The 20,999-nt window shown below is 44.2% G+C and overlaps 1 protein-coding gene across 28 annotated transcripts in view, besides 4 other annotated features; it reads right to left on the minus strand.

Moving 5' to 3' along the window:
* The window catches only part of STAU1 (staufen double-stranded RNA binding protein 1), a 105,957-nt gene that overhangs the window by 55,429 nt on the left and 29,529 nt on the right, over nt 1-20,999 (minus strand). For 7 of the 28 annotated variants that reach the window (NM_017452.4, NM_001319134.2, XM_005260527.1 and 4 more), the window contains exons 1-2: nt 19,349-19,567; nt 5,428-5,502 (exon numbers count right to left, since the gene is read on the minus strand). The gene's annotated coding sequence lies outside the window, so the exon portion shown is untranslated. Of the gene's footprint in view, nt 1-5,427; nt 5,503-9,530; nt 10,478-17,971; nt 18,195-19,348; nt 19,568-19,878; nt 19,985-20,999 lie in introns of those variants that run through there. The other 21 variants (NM_004602.4, NM_001037328.3, NM_001322931.2 and 18 more) reach the window with 10 other exon arrangements.
* Nucleotides 11,696-12,224: an enhancer, noted in NCBI's record as "H3K4me1 hESC enhancer chr20:47797000-47797528 (GRCh37/hg19 assembly coordinates)". NCBI's record gives its function as "activates a minimal SCP1, AML or CMV promoter by ChIP-STARR-seq in naive H9 embryonic stem cells {active_cell/tissue: H9 hESC(naive)}" and the evidence as "EXISTENCE:reporter gene assay evidence [ECO:0000049][PMID:30033119]".
* Nucleotides 18,311-18,380: an enhancer, noted in NCBI's record as "active region_18055". NCBI's record gives its function as "activates an Ori minimal core promoter by ATAC-STARR-seq in GM12878 lymphoblastoid cells {active_cell/tissue: GM12878}" and the evidence as "EXISTENCE:reporter gene assay evidence [ECO:0000049][PMID:35858748]".
* Nucleotides 18,781-18,940: a silencer, noted in NCBI's record as "silent region_12993". NCBI's record gives its function as "represses an Ori minimal core promoter by ATAC-STARR-seq in GM12878 lymphoblastoid cells {active_cell/tissue: GM12878}" and the evidence as "EXISTENCE:reporter gene assay evidence [ECO:0000049][PMID:35858748]".
* Nucleotides 19,171-19,840: a silencer, noted in NCBI's record as "silent region_12994". NCBI's record gives its function as "represses an Ori minimal core promoter by ATAC-STARR-seq in GM12878 lymphoblastoid cells {active_cell/tissue: GM12878}" and the evidence as "EXISTENCE:reporter gene assay evidence [ECO:0000049][PMID:35858748]".

A 20,999-nucleotide genomic window follows, 5' to 3' on the forward strand; every position in this document is an offset into this window, starting at 1 on the left:
ACAACCAGTGTGCAGAATGGGGAACCTACTGATATTTAGTGGATAGAGGAGCCAGGGATACTGTTACAAGCACACATATACTAACCCACACAATACAATCTTACTAATGTAACAAGTAGCTTATATTCTTAGACAGGAAAAGAAAATCCCCTTTCTATCTCGAAAGGCCCTAAAAAATAGATGCTAATTTTTTTTTTTTTTTTGAGACAGTCTCGCTCTGTTGCCTAGGGTGGAGTGCAGTGGTGTGATCTCCGCTCACTGCAAACTCCGCCTTCTGGGTTCAAGCGATTTTCCTGCCTTAGTCTCCCGAGTACTTAGGATTACAGGCGTGTACCACCACACCCGGCTAATTTTGTATTTTTAGTAGAGACAGCGTTTCACCATGCTGGCCAGGCTGATCTTGAACTCCTGATCTCAAGTGATCCTCCTGCCTCAGCCTCCCTAAGTGCTAGGATTACAGGCATGAGCCACTGCGCCTGGCCTGATGCTAATGTTTTAGCACCCAAACAGATGCTCCTCTCCCAAAGAGAAGCCGGAACAGACATCACAGTGATGAATGGGGGAAAATATATCATTTGCCCACATAACTCAAGGAACAAATTAAGTTTTTCATTACTGATATAGATATAGTTCATAGCAGCCTTCAAGGAACTGTGGAACTTTGGAAATAGAACTTCTGTGTAAATTCTAAACCTGTTGCTCAACAGTACTGTCCTGAAGACTAAGTCCTTAAATGCAAATAAGTCTTTTCCTTTAAACCTGTCTTTAAGGATTGTTTTCCACCAGGTAAATTAAGGACTTGAGAGATCAAAATGTTTTGTTAGAGTCTTCTTAGAGACAAACACTATTTTATACACAGTAAAATTAGGTTGAGAAGTTTGAAACGCAAAGATTCTTCAGATCTCGCTGGTGCTGGAAAACACCTCTTACTGTGAATTGTGTTGTGCTGCCATTTTCCTGCCTTTCTGCCTCCCACACAGATGAGGACCTTTCATCTCCTGGTTCTTTCCCTATTTGAAGGGCTTTAGACACCAGATCAACAAAACATACTCATCTTAGGCTCAAGCCCTAATTTTACATAGCATACATAAGCACCATAATACAAGCTGCAAAATGATAGAGTTATAGGTGTTTCTTTTAAAAGATTCCTTAATTCCATGTCCTCCTGGTTCTTAAGATTGGCTTGGTAACACAAAAATCTTCTCATAAAAACAGAATCTTGCTTTGGCTGGCAGTTACCGTTTTACAAGTGCCAAATAGTTTCTATGGGTTGTGGTGAAGGAGAATCTGGGCACATGAGCGCTACGAAAGTTTTTTTTAAATTATACATGATGTACTAAAAAGTGGTCACAAAATGTGTATTCAGCACTCAGCAGTGAACCTACCAAGACTAGACCATACTGAGCACAGTCCGAGTGATTTAATATACAAGAAGGCAGACCCTTCTAGAAATGGTTTACAGAACTATCTGCAATCGTGCTTAGTCTTTTAATTATCTTGTGCTACTAATACATGGTTAGTCTTATCCACTTTCAACTTACAGACTGTTAAATCTTTGTACTATGAAATACTTAAGCAATTATGGAAAAACATTTTTTTTCTGGAGACAGTCTCACTCTGTCGTCCAGGTTGGAGTGCAGTGGCACGATCTTGGCTCACCGTAACCTCTGCCTCCCAGGTTCAAGTGATTCTCCTGTGTCAGCCTCCCGAGTAGCGGGAACTACAGGTGTGTACCACCACACCTGGCTAATTATTTTGTGTTTTTAGTAGAAATGGGGTTTCACCATGTTGGTCAGGCTGGTCTTTAACTCCTGGCCTCAAGTGATCCGCCTGTCTTGGCCTCAACAAAGTGCTGGGATTATAGACATGAGCCACCGTGCCCAGCCAGAAAAACATTTTTAATAAGTAATTTTTAAACCGGATTAACACAACTTATAATGCAGTAGCTATACTTTTGTTTAATCAACATATCAGTCTCCTTCATAATAAGTGATATTTCCAAACAAGATGTGTCTGGGAAAAAAAAAAAAAAAAAGAAGGAAAGAAGTCATCCCAATTCTGGAGAAGCCTCCTTTTCAGATCATCACAAACATTTCACTAAATGTCTCCCCTTGCAAGTCCTTTGGTAAATCTGATGTAAGATGGATATACAGATACAAAGGAGCACTCCTGTGCCTCGCTGTTATAAAGCAATAGCAATTCTAAAATATATTCACTCAATAGTCTACAAAAACTTATTAAGCATCTATTACATGTGAACCCATAAATGGCAGATTGCACATTCTTAAATGCTGGAAAGGATCTGTGTGTTAAACTCTTCCTCAAAGACACAAGACGACATCTTTCAGCAATCACATGTAAATCTATTATTCTGTTCTCTTTAGTTTGTTGAGAGGCTCCACTCCCAGAGAAACTTGGTCAATTAAAAAACATCAAGGAATAAACCACTTTTTCTACAAAATAAAGTCCTTTTCAATAGCCTTTAAATACACCTAAAATACCCACATCATTCCTTATACCAGTTATTTATTTATTTATTTTTATTGAGACGGAGTCTCGCTCTGTTGCCCAGGCTGGAGTGCAGTGGCACGATCTCAGCTCACTGCAAGTTCCGCCTGCCAGGTTCACACCATTCTCCTGCCTCAGCCTCTCCAAGTAGCTGGGACTACAGGTGCCCGCCACCACGCCCGGCTAATTTTTTTTTTGTATTTTTAGTAGAGACGGGGTTTCACCGTGGTCTCTATCTCCTGACCTTGTGATCCGCCTGCCTCGGCCTCCCGAAGTGCTGGGATTACAAGCGTGAGCCACCGCACCCAGCCTATACCAGTTATTTCTAAGATTCTTTTCTGACACATCTTTCTTGCTGCAATATGGTTGAATGTTTTCTGAAAGTAAACTCACTCTCCACCATTACTTCTCCCTCCCAGCCCCCCAAAATAGTAATTCATTGACTCCAAACATTATCCAAATACCTGCAGGCAGGGCAGACGCTAGTACAGAAGCATGTCAATCACTATCGTCTTATAGGATCATTTCCAAAATGACCGCTTTAAGGTCAATGTCAAGCAAATAATGTCCAATAGCAGGCCTATATATACTAAATCACCCAATAATAAAACGTTTTTGAAAAGAAATATGACCAAACTACTTTAAAAAAAAAAAAAAAAAGAAACAAATCACTAAGTACCTGATGCTCAAGACAAAGACAGAGATTAGCCCTGAGGAGGCACACTCACTTGCAAGACAGTAAAATTAACCAAAAATAATGCCTGGAAACAACCCAGGCTGTTCAGGATCTTTGCACTTGCAATACAAGTGAGACTGAATGTGGTCCCTGTCTCACACTTGGCCCAATGCCATGGGCAATGGAGGACTTTCTTTCCACACAAATGTAACAGTTGGGAGGTCAGATGGTCTGCTTAAAGAAACACTTCCTAAAAGAGATTTTCATTATTTTCATCCTAGAAAACCCATCACACCATGCTAAAGTGAAAAACAATTTACCTCTATAGCCTAAAAAACTATAAGCCTTATTTTCTTTTCTAGTTTTAAAACTTTATCAAGCTTCCGTCTCTCCTTCTCTAGGAGACATTCTCAAAAATAACAAAATTCAAGCACATACATTTGTAAACAGTTTTTAATCTAAACTTATACAAACATAGAAAACTTTTAACACAATAAAAATGAATACCTGTTCATGATCTGCTGGAGACTTTTAAAAGTAGTTCTGTGTGATATTTTCTTGACTATGAAGGGGCTTGGTTCAACATAATGGTTAACAGGCTTTTCCTTTCAGAAAAGGGAAACTGTAATCTGTAACCATGTGCCATCTACCTAGAAACACGACTGCATTTACCACCATCTTCATGCAAAACAGACCAGTGCCAAGACTCAGTTTCTAAGAAACCACCCTTGCTGCTAAGTAGCAACCAACAATGTTAAATCAGATCAAACTTCTGAGATGTAGCTTTCAATTCCACTCCCAGCTCTTGGCAATCCACTCCCCTGTGCCTCAGTTTCCCCAAAACACTTTATAATAGGATATTTGACAAAGCCTCACTTGTAGCAATCACTGAGTCAAAACACTAAAGGAATCCTGAGGCATGATAATACATTTTTTTTTTTTTTGAGATGGAGTCTCGCTGTGTTGCCCAGGCTAGAGTGCAGTGAAACAATCTCGGCTCACTGCAAGCTCTGCCTCCCGGGTTCACGCCATTCTCCCGCCCCCCAACACCTGGCTAATGTTTTTTGTATTTTTAGTAAAGACGGGGTTTCACCGTGTTAGCCAGGAGGGTCTCGATCTCCTGACCTCTTGATCCGCCCACCTTGGCCTCCCAAAGTGCTGGGATTACAGGCGTGAGCCACTGCGCCCAGCCGATAATACAATTCTTTAAAAAGAAAAGCATTAGGCCGGGCACAGTGGCTCACGCCTGTAATCCCAACACTTTGGGAGGCCAAGGTGGGTGGATCACCTCATGTCAGGAGTTCGAGACCAGCCTGACCAACACGGTGAAACCCTGTCTCTACTAAAAATACAAAATTAGCCAGGTGTGGTGGCACACGCCTGTAATCCCAGCTACTTGGGAGGCTGAGGCAGGAGAACTGCTTGAACCCAGGAGGCCGAGGTGAGCCAACATGGCGCCATTGCACTCCAACCTGGGCAACAAGAGCGAAACTCCGTTTCAGAAAGAAAGAAAAGAAAAGCATTATACAAATCCAGTGTGGTGAGTTTAAAACCATTCACTGAGCTTTGTACAACTTCAATAATTTCCTTATGCTTCCATTTCCTCATCCTCAAAGTAGGTTAACTTGTCTACTAATTACTACCTCAGAGATATGGTACAGCAATGTGCTTTCAGCTTCTAGAGGGAAAGTGTTAAAAGCAGGAAGCAGTATTAACCCACATAGTGTATTTTGCATTGCCCTGACAAAAGACCAGAAAATCTTGAACACTCTTAGAAAACTCCTTTTTTATCTGAATGTTCACAAGCTGCTAGTGGTCAACGAAGCTTGATTCGTAACCCTATCTCACAATAGAAAACAATGCTAAATTCGTTCTATGAGTTTGAAAATCATGTTTAACATAAACAATCTGAGAAATCAAAGGGTTTTTTTAAAAAAAGCAAACTACAAAAGATACTATGACCAAGAAGCTTATTGAGCCAGTCATGTTTAATGACAGCTTCAGTCATCAATTCTCATGTCTCTATATTTAAAGAACATAGGCTTTACATTCTTGCCAATAACTTTTCCTGTACTTACTTTCTAATTAAATCAAGAGTAAAGATGAAATTCAAACTGCATAAAATTTGTTTCTCTAATATTATAGCCAGAAGTAAAAATCATTCTCCACACAACTCATTAAAGAATTCAAAAGTACCACTGATTATCAACAGGCCAGAAATTATAAAGCCAAATTATATGTACCTTTTTTAAAAAGAGGGCGTTCCAGGAACAATGTTGTCTTTGTTCAGTTCTGAGAGGTTAAGTGGTTAATAAACTCTGGAAAATAAAAAATAATAATAATTTAGTAGGGTAGGTCTTTTCTCTGAAACTGAAGACATACTGCTCAAGTTTTGGGGAAACCTATAATTTACAAGTAGGGAAGACTGAAGGCATGACGTCATGGTTTGAGGCAGCATGCAGTAGAGTCTTCAAAAGACACAAGCGGCCAGACATGGTGGCTCATGGCCTGTAATCCCAACACTTTGGGAGGCCGAGGCGGGCAGACCACCTGAGACCCGGAGTTCAAGACCAGCCTGGCCAACATGATGAAACCCCATCTCTACTAAAAATACAAAAATTAGGCTGGGCATGGTGGCTCATGCCTGTAATCCCAGCACTTTGGAAGGCCGAGGTGGGAAATTACGAGGTTAAGAGATTGAGACTGCCAGGCATGGTGGCGCACGCCTGTAATCCCAGCACTTTGGGAGGCCGAGGCGGGTGGATCACGAGGTCAGGAGATCGAGACCATCCTGGCTAACACGGTGAAACTCCGTCTCTACTAAATGTACAAAAAATTAGCCAGGCGTGATGGCGGGGGCCTGTAGTCCCAGCTACTTGGGAGGCTGAGGCAGAATGGTGTGAACCCGGGAGACGGAGCTTGCAGTGAGCAGAGATCGCACCACTGCACTCCAGCCTGGGTGACAGAGTGAGACTCCGTCACAAAAAAAAAAAAAAAAAGAGATTGAGACCACCCTGGCCAACATGGGGAAACCCATCTCTACTAAAAATACAAAAATTAGCTGGGCGTGATGGCACACCTGTAGTCCCAGCTACTTGGCAGGCTGAAGCAGGAGAATCGCTTGAACCTGGGAGGTGGAGGTTGCAGTGACTCAGGATCGCGCCACTGCACTCCAGCCTGGCAAAAGAGCGAGACTCCGTCTCAAAGAAAATAAATAAATAATACAAAAATTAGCCAGGCATGGTGGCGCAGGCCTGTAATCCCAGCTACTTGGGAGGCTGTGGCACAAAAATGGCTTGAATGCAGGAGGCAGAGGTTGCAGTGAGCCAAGATCGCACCACTGCCCTCCAGCCTGGGCCACAGAGTGAGACTCCTCTGGGAAAAAAAAAAAAGACACAATTGCCTGGAAGCTGGGTGAAGAATATTTTGCAGAGACACATTTATAAGAGACAGCAGAACTTTCCTTTTCCAGTCCCAATTATTCCCTGATGAGAGTAATATGAATATCTCATAATGTTTAGGCTTTGTTTGTTCAGGTTTTTTTTTGAGATGGAGTCTTACCCTGTCCCCCAGGATGGAGTGCAGTGGCGTGATGTCGGCTCCCTGCAACCTCCGCCTCCCGGGTTCAAGCAATTCTCCTGCCTCAGACTCCTGAGTAGCTGGGGTTACAGGTGCCCGCTACCACGCCTGGCTAATTTTTTTATTTTTATTTTTAGTAGAAATGGCAGGGTTTTGCCAAGTTGTCCAGGCTGGTCTCGAACACCTGACCTCAGGTGCTCCACCCACCTCAGCCTCCCAAAGTGCTGGGATTACAGGCATGAGCCACCACACCCAACCTCATAATGCCTTTTTTTTTTTTTTTTGAGACGGAGTCTCGCTGTCGTCCAGGCTGGAGTGCAGTGGCGCAATCTCGGCTCACTGCAAGCTCCGCCTCCAGGGTTCACGCCATTCTCCTGCCTCAGCCTCCCAAGTAGCTGGGACTACAGGCGCCCGCCACCTCGCCCGGCTAATTTTTTGTATTTTTAGTAGAGACGGGGTTTCATCGTGTTAGCCAGGATGGTCTCGATCTCCTGACCTCGTGATCCGCCCGCCTCGGCCTCCCAAAGTGCTGGGATTACAGGCGTGAGCCACCGCGCCCGGCAATAATGCTTTTTAAAAGGAACTGTACATTACATATCGTCCGATCACATAAGACTGATTTTCAAACCTGTGTTTTCTTTCCCTTTATACCTACCACTTTATTCGTAAATGTCGTTGGCATATGCTTGGTGACCCAAATACAATTTTATGGAAAATTTTACCAAAAGGCATTGGGTACATAAATAGTGGCATATTAAATTGCAGAATATGAAAAAAGCACATTATCTCTAATAAGTCCAAATCATAATCATTTTTAGAAGTGAACTTTACATTACAGAATTTGAGTTTAATTCTCAAATTCTGCGGTCTGATTTATCTAGAGGTTCCTCAACTTAAATGGTAGTTGTCAGTAGTAACACAGAATTTCTTACCTTGAGATGCTTTTATACATTCTTACAACACTAAGTGTTTTTGCTTGTTTCAGTTTCTCACTGCTACTATGGCTTAACAGGCAATAAAAAATTGCTGTTCATTGTCTGATTGATTCCAGAAATAAATCATGAGCTCTAGTTTATTTTCTGGTATTTTAACAGCTCAGGTTCTTTTCATAGATAGTATATTATACTAACAACTTTCCAGTCTAGAGCTCAGTTGTTCTAATATCTCAGCTATTCAAAGACTGGCATGAATGGGAACTGAAAAAGGCCTCTGAGCAGCCCAAATACCAAAGACCTTCTAACATAGCCCATGCCTTTTACCAATAGGGGCCTCACCTGAGCCAAGAAGTTTTCTATGTTGAACAATTTTTGTAAGTTTGGGTGTCTAGTTTTTGTTTTGTTTCCAAATTCCCTATCCCCTATTCTGAGAAGCAGGGTGTCTAGTTTTTTTTTTTTTTTTTGAGACAGAGTCTCGCTCTGTTGCCCAGGCTGGAGTGCAATGGCGTGATCTCCGCTCACTGCAACCTCCGCCTCCCGGGTTCAAGCGATTCTCCTGCCTCAGCCTCCCGAGTAGCTGGGATTACAGGTGCATGCCACCATGCCCGGCTAATTTTTTGTATTTTTAGTAGAGATGGGTCTCACCATGTTAGCCAGGCTGGTCTCGATCTCCTGACCTCGTGATCCGCCCACCTCGGCCTCCCAAAGTGCTGCGATTACAGGCGTGAGCCACCGCACCTGGCCCAGGGTGTTCAGTTTTCTAGCCCAAAGCAGAAGTAAAAAATAAAGGCCAGGTGTGATGGCTCATGCTTGTAACCCCAGCACTTTGGGAGGCCGAGGCAGGTGGATCGCTTGAGCTCAGGTGTTTGAGACCAGCCTGGGCAACATGGCAAGACCCTGTCTCTATTAAAATAAAATTTAAAAATTTAAGGGCCGGGCATGTGGACTCACGCCTATAATCCCAGCACTTTGGGAGGCCGAGGGTGGCAGATCCCGAAGTCAGGAGATCGAGACCATCCTGGCTAACACAGTGAAACCCCGTCTCTACTAAAAATACAAAATAATTAGCCAGGCATGGTGGCGGGCGCCTGTAGTCTCAGCTACTCGGGAGGCTGAGGCAGGAGACTGGCATGAATTCAGGAGGCGGAGCTTGCAGTGAGCCGAGATCACACCACTGCACTCCAGCCTGGATGACAGAGTGAGACTCCGTCTCAAAAACAAAAAAAAAATTTTAAAACACACATAAAAAAAGCTAAATATAAGAACGGAAAAAGGAGCTGTTAGAGTCAGACATAAAGACAATGCTAAAAAATAACCATCATCAACTTAGCAAAGAAAGAAGAGAGAGAGAGAGGGGAGAAATACAGCAGTCATTTGGATCTCAAATACTTTTACACAGTGATAGCTGAGATTCATACAAACATTCATGTTTTGGCCAGGTGTGGTGGCTCACGCCTGTAATCCCAACACTTTGGGAGGCCAAGACAGAACTGCTTGAGCCCAGGAGTTCAAGGCCAGCCTAGGAAACAGAGGAAGACCCCATCTCTCCAAAAAGTTTAAAACTAGCTAGGCATGATGGCATGCACCTGTAGTCTCAGCTACTTGGAAGGCTGAGATGGGAGGACTGCTTGAGACCAGAAGATTGAGGCTGCAGTGAGCCCTGAGTGCACCACTGCACTCCAGCCTAGGCAATGAAGCAAGACTCCATCTCAAAAAACCAACAAAAATGCACATTTCCATATGCAAATCTATTTTTTGAAATCCTCCAATTTCAAAAGATAATCCAAAGCCATCATGATCATTATCAATATATCTATATAGTGCACACTTACCACTGCAATTTTCCCCAGTCAAGAATGCATACTAAACCAGGCACCGTGGCTCAGGCCTGTAATCCCAGCACTTTGGGAGGCCAAGGTGGGCCAATCACCTGAAGTCAGGAGTTTGAGGCTAGGCTGGCCAACATGGTGAAATCCCATCTCTACTAAAAATACAAAAATTAGGCCGGCGCAGTGACTCACACCTGTAATCCCAACACTTTGGGAGGCCAAGGCAGGTGGATCACCTGAGATCAGGAGTTCAAGATCAGCCTGGCTAACATGGTGAAACACTGTCTCTACTAAAAATAAAAAAAAATTAGTCTGGCATGGTGGCACATGCCTGTAATCCCAGCTACTTGGGAGGCTGAGGCTGAACAATCACTTGAACCCGGGAGGCAGAGGTTGCAGTGAACTGAGATTGGGTCACTGCACTCCAGCCTGAGTAACAGAGCGAGACTCTGCTTCAAAAATAAAATAAAATAAAAATATAAAAATTAGCCAGGCATGGCCGGGCGCGGTGGCTCACGCCTGTAATCCCAGCACTTTGGGAGGCCAAGGCGAGTGGATCACAAGGTCAGGAGATCAAAATCATCCTGGCTAACACGGTGAAACACCGTCTCCACTAAAAAAAAAAAAAAAAAAACAACTAGCTGGGCATGGTGGCGGGCACCTGTAGTCCCAGCTACTCCAGAGGCTGAGGCAGGACAATGGCGTGAACCCGGGAGGCAGAGCTTGCAGTGAGTCAAGATCGCGCCACTGCACTCCAGCCTGGGCGATAGAGCAAGACTCCATCTAAAAAAAAAAAAAAAAAATTAGCCAGGCATGGTGGTACGCACCTGTAATCTCAGCTTATCGGGAGGCTGAAGTGGGAAAATCGCTTGAACCTGGGAGGTGGAGGTTGCAGTGAGCCGAGATCACGCCACTGCACTCCAGCCTGGGCGACAAGAGCAAAACTCCACCTCAAAAAAAAAAAAAAGAAGATAAAAAGTAGCAAATTATAGAAAGTCCCTTATGCAAAAGAAAGCTTATTTCACTTTTATTCTTTTTTATGTTTGGTGCTTGAATAAATTCTCAACTAAAAGGAAAATTACTATACAGAAGTAGTCACTTGCTAAACATTACAGGTTGCAAAGGTTTACTCAATGACAAACCAAAAGGAAACTTATTTGCCTAACTATATTTGACTGTCATCTAGGTAAAGGGTCATGGAGCTTTCATGAGCAGGTTGGTTCAATTGTGCAACAAGGAAAATAAGCTTCCAAGCATAATGAGACTTATTATTACATATAAATTGTTCTTTCTGACAGAGGAAAGGACTGCCTAGCATTCTGCATAAAATCACAATGGCTTCAGCAGACAATGGCCCTATTTGAATCAGGGTGGAATCTGCAAGGGTAGAAAATTCATGCCTCAGTTAATTGTAATCTATAGAAGGCATGGATTTCAAAACAGCAAAGATAGGAGAGAATCAGACAAGATCTAGTTAGATCCTAAAGCTCATCTCTGAAGGGAGCTAATATAGTGACAATGTAAGCAGCATTATCTGCTCACTTCATGCCAAGGGGTATTTCCAACACCTATTAGTGATTAATGAGACATGCTATGTCATTACAGACTACAGGGTAGCCTCAGTTGAGGTTAAACACAAAATGGAACTTCAGACACCATTTCACTAAAAGCTCACATCCAAAGGCAGATTTAATTTCACTGATCCAGCCTTTCAAGACTAACCATAAGAGAAGACTGCCCAGGTGGAATACCAAAGAAGCTTCTGATTCAGATCACCGTTTCAAACAAAAGTAAAACAAAATTGTTCAGGAAGCAGTTCAATTCCAAACAGGAAGCTGTACTAAATACTCCCAACAGTATTAGCCACAAGAGGGATGTTAGAAAGGGCTAGGAAGCAAAGAGGACAACCAGCACCTATCCTATAAAGTTAATTGGAAGCTTAGTTAACTCATTTCCACTAAAGCAGAATGTTAGAATTCAGAAGAAATGAATTTTTTTTTTTAGCAACAACCTGGACTACAGTTCTTTTTTTTTTTTTCCCCCCCTGGATACAGAGTCTTGCTCTGTTGCCCAGGCTGAAGTGCAGCGGCACGATGTCAGGTCACTGCAAACTCCACCTCCCGGGTTCAAGCCATTCTCCTGCCTCAGCCCCCGGGGTAGCTGGGATTACAGGCACGTACCACCACACCCAGCTAATTTTTGTATTTTTAGTAGAGATGGGGTTTCACCATGTTGGCCAGGCTGGTCTCGAACTCCTGACCTCAGGTGATGCGCCTGCCTTGGCCTCCCAAAGTGACGGAATTACAGGCGTGGGCCACCATGCCAGCAATTTTTAACAAACCTGATGACACACGATAGCAGTAATTTAGGAGCTGGCCTCCTTTAACACAAAGGTTAATAAGACAGCCCCTCCCCACACACAAACCTGTGGATCAGCTTTAAGTTTTAGCTTAATTTGACATAACAAATAAAAGTAAACTGGAAAGCTATTTCAAGGGTCCATCTAAAAGACTATTACTTAACCAGACTTTCTTTCAAATTGATCTAGGGTTCTAATGAGCAAAATTCATCCTAGCTGCTGCGGTGGGGAGAGTCAGGGGAGGGCCACCAGTGACAAGCAGAATCAATTATCCTAAACAAAAAGCACCTAAGCATAATTTAGAGACAAAGCATGGTTCAGTGGAAAGAACACTGACTTTGGAGCCAGACCAGCCTGTGCTCTAGAACTAATACTTGGTGCCTCAGGACTCTGAGCCAGTTATCTGGCCCCTCGGAAGCGCATCAGCATCCTCAGCAATTATTATGAGCTTTACGCTGCAAAGATGTTTATGAGTATTAGAAATACAACATAAAGGGTCTAAGAAACCCTTTTCTTTGGTTCAAGGAAAGAGCTAAATGAACTGCAACTTTTATATTATTAGGTAAATTCAACCTGACCTTTTAATTCCTTTTCTGCATAAAATAACTTTCACCCTGTAATTCTAACCTGGCACATGGTAAGAGCTCAATAGCAGTAAATATTATTATCCAGCAAATTCACTAAACCTGTCCTTACACATAAACATCTATAAAACTTACAGCAACACTCCACTTGTAAAAAATTTTAAATAGGATCAGAGAATATGCTGACTAAAACCAACCCACTCACTGAGCAACCAGTTCTGTAGCTACATCAAGTATAGGGGCAAGGCCGGGAACAGTGGCTCAAGCCTGTAATCCTATCACTTTGCGAGGCTAAGGCAGGCGGATTGCCTGAGCTCAGGAGTTCGAGACCAGCCTAGGCAACATGGCAAAACCCCATCTCTGCTAAAAATACAAAAAATTAGCCGGGCGTGGTGGTGCTCAATTGTAGTCTCAGCTACTCGGGAGGCTAAGGCAGGAGAATTGCTTGAACCCAGGAGGTGGAGGTTGCAGTGAGCCGAGATGATACCTCTGCATTCCAGCCTGGGCAACAGAGCAAGACTATCTCAACAAAAAAAAAAAAAAAAAAAAAAAAAAAAAAAGCAGAGGCAATCTAATGAAGGTTTAACCCTCAGCAATCATGTTCATTCAGGGGAAAAGACCCCAATGTATTTAAATAGATTTTCTTAGCCTTTATTGTCTGGGAGACATGACACAAAATTTCTATCATAATAAAATGGCCAGTTTTGCTTCCATTACTGTTATAAACCCACATAGTCATCACACTTCTTTCCCAAATTAGATTCCAGATTAAACAGATGCCAGATGGGTTACAGATTTGATATTCAGAAGACTAATTTTTAATCGAAAGCAAACACTTTCTCAAATAGATTTTTCCACTTTTGCTTCCAGTAAATATACTTTGAGGGAGTTCCCTGAGTCTACTTCTTTAACAAATAAACATATGTAATCCCAGAAAATATACAGCAATTAACAGCCTGCAGAAATTTTTCTCTACTTCCATTTATCTGGTGACATAAATCACTGTTACATCAACCTTATTCACCAGTATGGGAATGTAAACACTTAAAAAACAAATTAAGCTATTTGCAGTAATTCCCATTTTACCACTTTAAAAATATTACTTTTCTCTGCAGTAAGGTTTTCTAGTTCAGAGCATTAAGCTGTCAACAAGACAGATATCCAAGCCCATCCATCCCGTGGCATTTGATAAGATCAACACAGCTATATATTTATAATCCTATTATCTCCTTAGCAGGTGAGAACAATGGATTTGGCCAACATTATTCAAGCTTCATAATACTGTATGGTAAAATGTTCATGACAAAGAGCAGAAGGTATGCCGGGCACAGTGGCTCACGCCTGTAATCCCAGCACTTCGGGAGGCCGAGGTGGGCGGATCACAAGGTCAGGAGATCGAGACCATTCTAGCTAACACGGTGAAACCCCATCTCTACTAAAAACACAAAAAAATTAGCCAGGCATGGTGGCGGGCACCTGTAGTCCCAGCTACTCGAGAGGCTGAGGCAGGAGAATGGCATGAACCCAGGAGGTGGAGCTTGCAGTGAGCCGAGATCACACCACTGCACTCCAGCCTGGGTAACAGAGCCAGACTCCGTCTCAAAAAAAAAAAAAAAAATAGTAGACGGTGTTCAGCACCATGAAACAGGGAGGCAAAAATAGAAAGTAGATGGTATCTAAAGAGATGTACAATAAAACTTCATAAACTTTGTTATATGTTTGAAATTTTTCATAATAAAATGGTGGGGGTAAATAACCATAGCAACTAACATGTCCTCTCATAGTTCAACTGATAACTGGCAATTTATATTTTTTGGAACAGCACAAATGGTATACAGCCTTGACTCTGGTGAAGTTTTATTTAAAGAAAAGCTCATGTAGAAAATTACACGAGAAGCATTTCAACCACAAATGTCTCCATCACCAGAAGTCAATGTAAAATAACCTGTTATAGGTCTAGTGTGAAACAAATCTGTCATAAAATTCTCTAAACATTTTTGAAAGCTCTAAAATCCCATTCTGAGAGAAAAGCAACTCCAAAGCTCTTATTTGAGAGGGGAGGAATTTATATTTCCTCAAATTGAACAATTCTGTGTCACTGGGTATCACATCAAATAAGAAGATCCAATTTAGAGGCTCATGAAAACAAGGCCTCTGCCTATAATCCCAGCTACTAAGGAGGCTGAGGTGGGAAGATGACTTGAGCTCAGGAGTTCAAGACCAGCCTGGGCGACAAACTCTGGGATTGACTTGTGGAATCCCACAAAAAGATACCCTTTTCATGAAAGTTTCATCTTTATACTGAATTACACTCTTACTCAATCCAGTAAAAAGGCTCAAAGAAAGTTGCCCCACAAACTGAGACTACCTTGTGGTATTGGGGAGAGAGACTGGATGAAGCAGTATCCATTTTGATAACACCCAGAATGATATCAATGATCTGGACTTTAGAATGGGGATGGAGGAGAGTTCCATGAGTCATGGCCATTTCTAAACTTAAAATACAGTAAATCCTCTCTTAACATAAGGGGTAGGTTCTTGGAAACTGAGACTTCCGACTAACACACGCTTATTGATACAAACAAGAGTTAGGTTCTAGGGCATATTTCTCATCAGAAAAATATCACCAAACTTTTAAATAAAGACCAAACACTTCGAATATTAAACACTGAAATAAATGTGAAGTATACATGCCTTTTTTTTTTTTTTGAGAAGTACTTTTGCTCTTGTTGCCCCGGCTGGAGTGCAATGGCACGATAACCGCTCACTGCAACCTCTGCTTCCCAGGTTCAAGCAACTCTCCTGCCTCAGCCTCCTGAGTAGCTGGGATTACAGGTGCCCGCCACCCAGCCCGGCTAATTTTTTTTATTTTTAGTAGAGACAGGGTTTCGCCATGCTGGCCAGGCTGGTCTCCAACTCCTGACCTCAGGTGATCTGCCCACCTCAGCCTCCAAAAGTGCTGGGATTACAGGCATGGGGTTGCAGTAAGCCGAGACTGCACCATTGCACTGCAGCCTGGGTGACAAGAGCTAAACTCCATCTCAAAAAAAAAAATTTTTTTTTTTACCACTTATTCCAGTTCAGGGTTGGGGTGGCTGGAGCCTATCTCAGCAGCTTAGGGTGCAAGGCCGGAACCAGTCCTGGACAGGACATCCACTGCAGAAAGCACTCACACTTACACACACAGCTCCACACACCAGTGAACCTCACGTGCACAGCTTTGGGATGTGGGAGGAAATCAAGAGTACCCAGAGAAAACCCATGCAGGGATAGGGAGAACGTGTAAACTCCACAGACAGTTTTTTTTCTCAACATTATCTTGAAACAACATTATTCAAGGACCTGCTGTAATCTGTATATACATGGACTTTCTGGCTGAAACCTAAAAGAGAGCAACTTATTCTCAAGAAACTATATTTATGGTAACAATTCTCAATGCTTAAAAGTTTTACGTTAAGCTTAATGGGAAGCACTACACATTTTTAAAAATGTGTTGTGTCCTTTCCCAGATACTAAATTGGCGTTTCTTTCCTAAATCAATTTTAAGAGGTGTATCTTTCCCCATCTTCCAGGTAGTCATAACTAAAACATAACATGTAACATTTCCACTGTACCTGATCAAGCTCAAAGTACACCTACAAAACTCAAATAACAGACCTAAAAGCTGAAAACTATTCACGACCAGAAATTTGAAAGTTATGCAACAAAGACATTTATAATATTTATAATATTCCTGTCAACTTCCATTGTAAGAGAGATCCTTTAGACACAAGAAAGAAAAACGTGAACACTTATGCTGTGATTTCATACTATTCACAAAAATTAAGGTTTCATTCATATTTGCTAAATTTGTTATTTGGAAATAGGGCAGACGGGGGCACTTTGGAAAACAATTCTATGTTAGAAGATTATCTTTTGCTTAATTCTTAACCTAAGGTAACAGCAGTATCTTTACACAACTACTGTAAAGAAACATTTTAAGTTTTCATTATGAATTATTAACTGTAGTTTAACTTTGACACAAAGTTATCTCTATTAAAGTGGGTTAAAAGGCAGGTCTCTGCCAAAACAGGACTGGGGAAATCTGTATTTGTTCGCTTTTCAATTATAGTCATTAATAGCTCAAGAATTTTTGCTTTTGTACACAATAAAGCAGCAAGGTTGTATTTTGATTTTGAGGAGCTGAAGGCATTGGATCAAGAGTTAATTTTCTTCTTCTTTTCTGCTGTACAGAAATCATGTATAAACAGAGAAGGGAAGCCCAACAAACAAAAATGAGAACTATTATTCTACTAAAAGTAAATTTTGTGACCTTAATCTGGGGCAATCTGGTAAAAGTCAAAATCGCTAATGTTGTGACACAATGTTTAAGATTTGTTTCAAAATAATCTAGTTTGTGTGGGGGGATACAACATGAAACAAAACCGACCTTGGCTATGAGTTAATAATTGTCAAAGCTAAGTGAGTGACTAACACATGGGGTTCTCCATACTATTCGAGTTTCGCATGTTTTCCAGAATAAAAGGTTTTTAAAAAATGGTATTTAAAATACCATTTCCCTATTGAAATATGCCATTGTGATATGGCAGTATTAGACATGCTTTATACTGCTTGTATAGTTGTTTGCTTATGTGTTTTTTTTGTTTTGTTTTTTTGGAGAGAGTCTCTCTCTGTCGCCCAGGCAACCTCCACCTCCCGGGTTCAAGCGATTCTCCTGTCTCAGCCTCGGGAGTAGCTGGGACTGCAGGCGCCCGCCACCACACCAGGCTCAAGAGATAGTCTCCATCTCCTGACCTCGTGATCCACCCGCCTCGGCCTCCCAAAAGTTCTGGGATTACAGGCGTGAGCCACCGCGCCTAACCTGCTTATGGAGGCCTAGGAGGGTGGATCACGAGGTTAGGAGTTCGAGACCAGTCTGGCCAACATGGCAAAACCCCGTCTCTACGAAAACTACAAAAATTAACACGGCGCGGTGGCGGGCGTCTGTAATCCCAGCTACTCGGGAGGCTGAGACGGGAGAATCTTTTGAACCAGGGTGGCAGAGGTTGAAATGAGCCGAAATCGCGCCACTGCACTCCAGCCTGGGCGACAGCGTGAGACTGTCTCAAAAAAAAAAAAAAATTCAAACAAACATTTTAAATTACAAACAATGGTAAGACTGTCAGAAAATTCTAGGAAAATGTCAAAAACAAGGAGGCCACTTTGCCGCATGTGTGTTAAGAGATGGGTATAAATCAAAATAGTTTCAGTTCACTAAGGAAATTTAATGCCTAAAACAATCCTAAGATACAGGAGGATCACTCAGGTAAACACACACTCCTTACTCATATAAAATTGAACACCCATAAGTTGCATTTCCTTAGAGTACACCTATAAAACTAAGTACAGAATTTTTAAAAACCCAGTATGTTTTAGTAAAGTTGCTGTTCTAAAAATCCCACCTGTCACCAGGATAACCGAAACTGCTCCCTCTACACTCCAACTGTATTTTTAGTTTTTACCTCAACAAGTAGCAATGCAATTTACACTTGGTAAGCACGGATTCCTGAAACGCCAAAATCAACCGGGAACCTGATTTAACTCCACCACGCTCTTAACAATGAAAGCTACAAGCAGAAGAGAAGTGTGACCTTAAAAACTTCCACACAGCCGAAGAACAGTGGCAGAACAGACTGAAGCACGTATCTTCGCGGAACAGAAGAAAACTTCCACACAAGCAATACTGCAACACGGAGGCGGGGCAAGGGCTTAAAAGGAAAGTCAGCCAACAGGGAGGGGTGAATATAAGCAAAGCTTCCGTGAAAAAAAACTTATCGAGGTGTAGAGCAAGACAAGACAGACAAATTTTTCCATCTCCGTACACCCCCCTTCAGAGCCCAACACACAGCAAGTGCTCTAGATAGGTTTGCTCAACTCAAGGGAAGCTTCTGCCAGCAACTTTCCCAGAAATGGAATGACAAGAAGAAGCTGGATGATGGCGGGGCGGGGAGAAATGGACAGGTTGCTCATCCTGCGGGAGATGGTGAATATCCTGCAGTTGCCTAAGCGGAGATGGAAAGAAACAGCATCCATCGTTTACAGACTGTCAACTACAGTGTCCCAATTAAGCGTACGCCCCTTTCAGATGTTAACAACTGAAAACAATGCCCTGGCTCTGGACATGGGCACGCGGAACACTGCAGCCTCTAAGAAACCCAAACGGATAGGTAGGTCAACTTCTATCCACTCTGCCCATTAAATTATACCTTCATATCACGCTAATAAATTATGCAGACGGTTTACTGGGACACGCTGTGGGTCTGGCACTCTGATAAGCGCTTTACACGCCCCATTTCACTGAACCTTAAGAGGCAGGGACGGTATTAGCAGCCCCTTTTCCAACCAAGACACAAAGACTTTTTAAGTGTCTTGCCTAACGGGGCAGAGCCGGGTTCGGCACCCGTTTTGGACACCTGGGCCGTGCTCTTAACCACTAAGCTACAGACCTGGGCCGGCGACACTGAGAGGCTCCAGCCCTCGGGGACCTGAAGCAGGGACCCCCCCCCCCCCCCGCCTGCGCCCCAGCCCCGGGAATAACTTCGGCATCCCCGCGCGCGCCATGCGGGACGAGGAAAGGCGGCCGCAGCACCTGTTTGTGGCACCGGTGAGGGCTGGAGGGGATGGGGGCGCCCGGGGCCAGGCCTCAGGGCGCCCCGAGGCGAGGGAACGCAAGAGGACCCGCCTCCTCCGGGAAGGCCCCGCGGGCTAGAGAGAGGCCCGGGAGAAGGCGGAGGGGTGCGCGGGCCCGCCGAGGCCTAGGCCCCACCCGCCGCCCACCTCCCCACCGCGGCGGCGCCCGCGAGGGCCCCACCAGGCCCGGCCCGGCCCGGCCGCCTCACCTGGCTGCTGCTCCGAGCTCGTCCCCCGGCCGGCGGTCCTGGGCGGTGGCGGCGAGGAGGGGAAGGAAGAAGGAAAAAAGGGAGAGGAAGAAGGGACGAAGGGAGGGAAGAGGCGGAGTGGCCGTGGAGGAGGCGGGCGCCGCCGGGCCGGGGGGGGGAGGCGGTCAAAGGAAGCGGGAGCCGAGAGAGACGCGGCAGCCGCCGGCGCAAACGCTGAAGAGCCGCTCAGGCGCCCGCAGCCCGGCAGGAAGTGACGGGGGAGGGGCAGGCGCCCGCCCCCGGCCCCCGCCCGCCTCCAGGCCCGGCCCCGGCCCCACCCCCACCCACGGTCCGAACCACAAGTTCCGGCTGGCACTGCGGCGGAGCCTGCGCTCGCAAGGCACGCCGGGGGCCCAGCGGGAGGAGCGCCCTGTCCCGCCTGGACCGCAGCGGCCCGTCCTGAGTCCCGGGGCCTGCCGGGAGTTGTAGTTCTGGTGGGAGTTTCGCGCTGCCTGCTGGACTCGAAGCGGGTCTGGGAGAACCCAGCCTACCTTCTTTCCTCCTCCACTTCCTTTTTCCTTCCTTGCTGTCGCTTCTTCCTCTTGTCCTGCCTCTGGCCTTCCTTTCTCTCCTTCCTGCAGTTGTTTCTTCCTCCATCTGTAAATGTTCATTAAATGCTTGCCATATGCAAGGCATTGCTCCAAGAGCTAAGAATGTAGTGGTGAACTGACAAAAATCCCTGCCCTCGTGGAGCTTACATTCTTGTGTAAGTAAAATACACAATAAATAAAATTGAAAAATGTGTAGTGAGATAAAAGACAATGGCCCGGGCGCGTTGGCTCAGGCCTCTAATCCCGGCACTTTGGGAGGCCGAGGCGGGCGGATCACTAGGTCAAGAGATCGAGACCATCCTGGCTACCACGGTGAAACCCCCGTCTCTACTGAAAATACAAAAAATTAGCCGGGCGTGGTGGCGGGCGCCTGTAGGTAAACAGCTACTCGGGAGGCTGAGGCAGGAGAATCGCTTGAACCCGGGAGGCGGAGATTGCAGTGAGCTGAGATCGCGCCGCTGCACTCCAGCCTTGGCGACAAAGAGACACTGGTCTCAAAAAAAAAAAAAAAAAAAAAAAAAAAAAAAAAAAAAAAGACGAGAAGTGCCAGATTACTATTTATTTCACCCAGACCTAGATAAACTAAGTGGTTTTTAGCAGCTGTATTGTATGGGAGGTTGGAGAGAGGGTGGCCAGTAAAGAATCTTGGCCAGGCGCAGTGGCTCACGCCTGTAATCCCGGCACTTTGGGAGGCCGAGGTGGGCGGATCACCTGAGGTCAGGAGTTCGAGACCAGCCTGACTAACATGGTGAAACCCCGTCTCTACTAGCCGGATGCAGTGGTGGGCGCCTGTAATCACAGCTACTTGGGAGGCTGAGGCAGGAGAATCTCTTGAACCCGGGAGACGGAGGTTGCAGTGAGCCGAGATCACGCCATTGCACTCCAACCTGGGCAACAGAGTGAGACTCTGTCTCAAAAAAAAAAAAAAAAAAAAAAAGAATCTTGAACTTCTGCACACTCAGCGAAAATTATGCTCGCGTTGTGAGAGGTCCAAGAAACTGAGAATGAATGAAGGAACTGCAGGTGCACAGAGCTTCTCTCTCCCGCTCACTCTGGGACTG

This window comes from Homo sapiens, chromosome 20 (genome assembly GCF_000001405.40).
Source record: "Homo sapiens chromosome 20, GRCh38.p14 Primary Assembly".
Taxonomy (NCBI): Eukaryota; Metazoa; Chordata; class Mammalia; order Primates; family Hominidae; genus Homo; species Homo sapiens.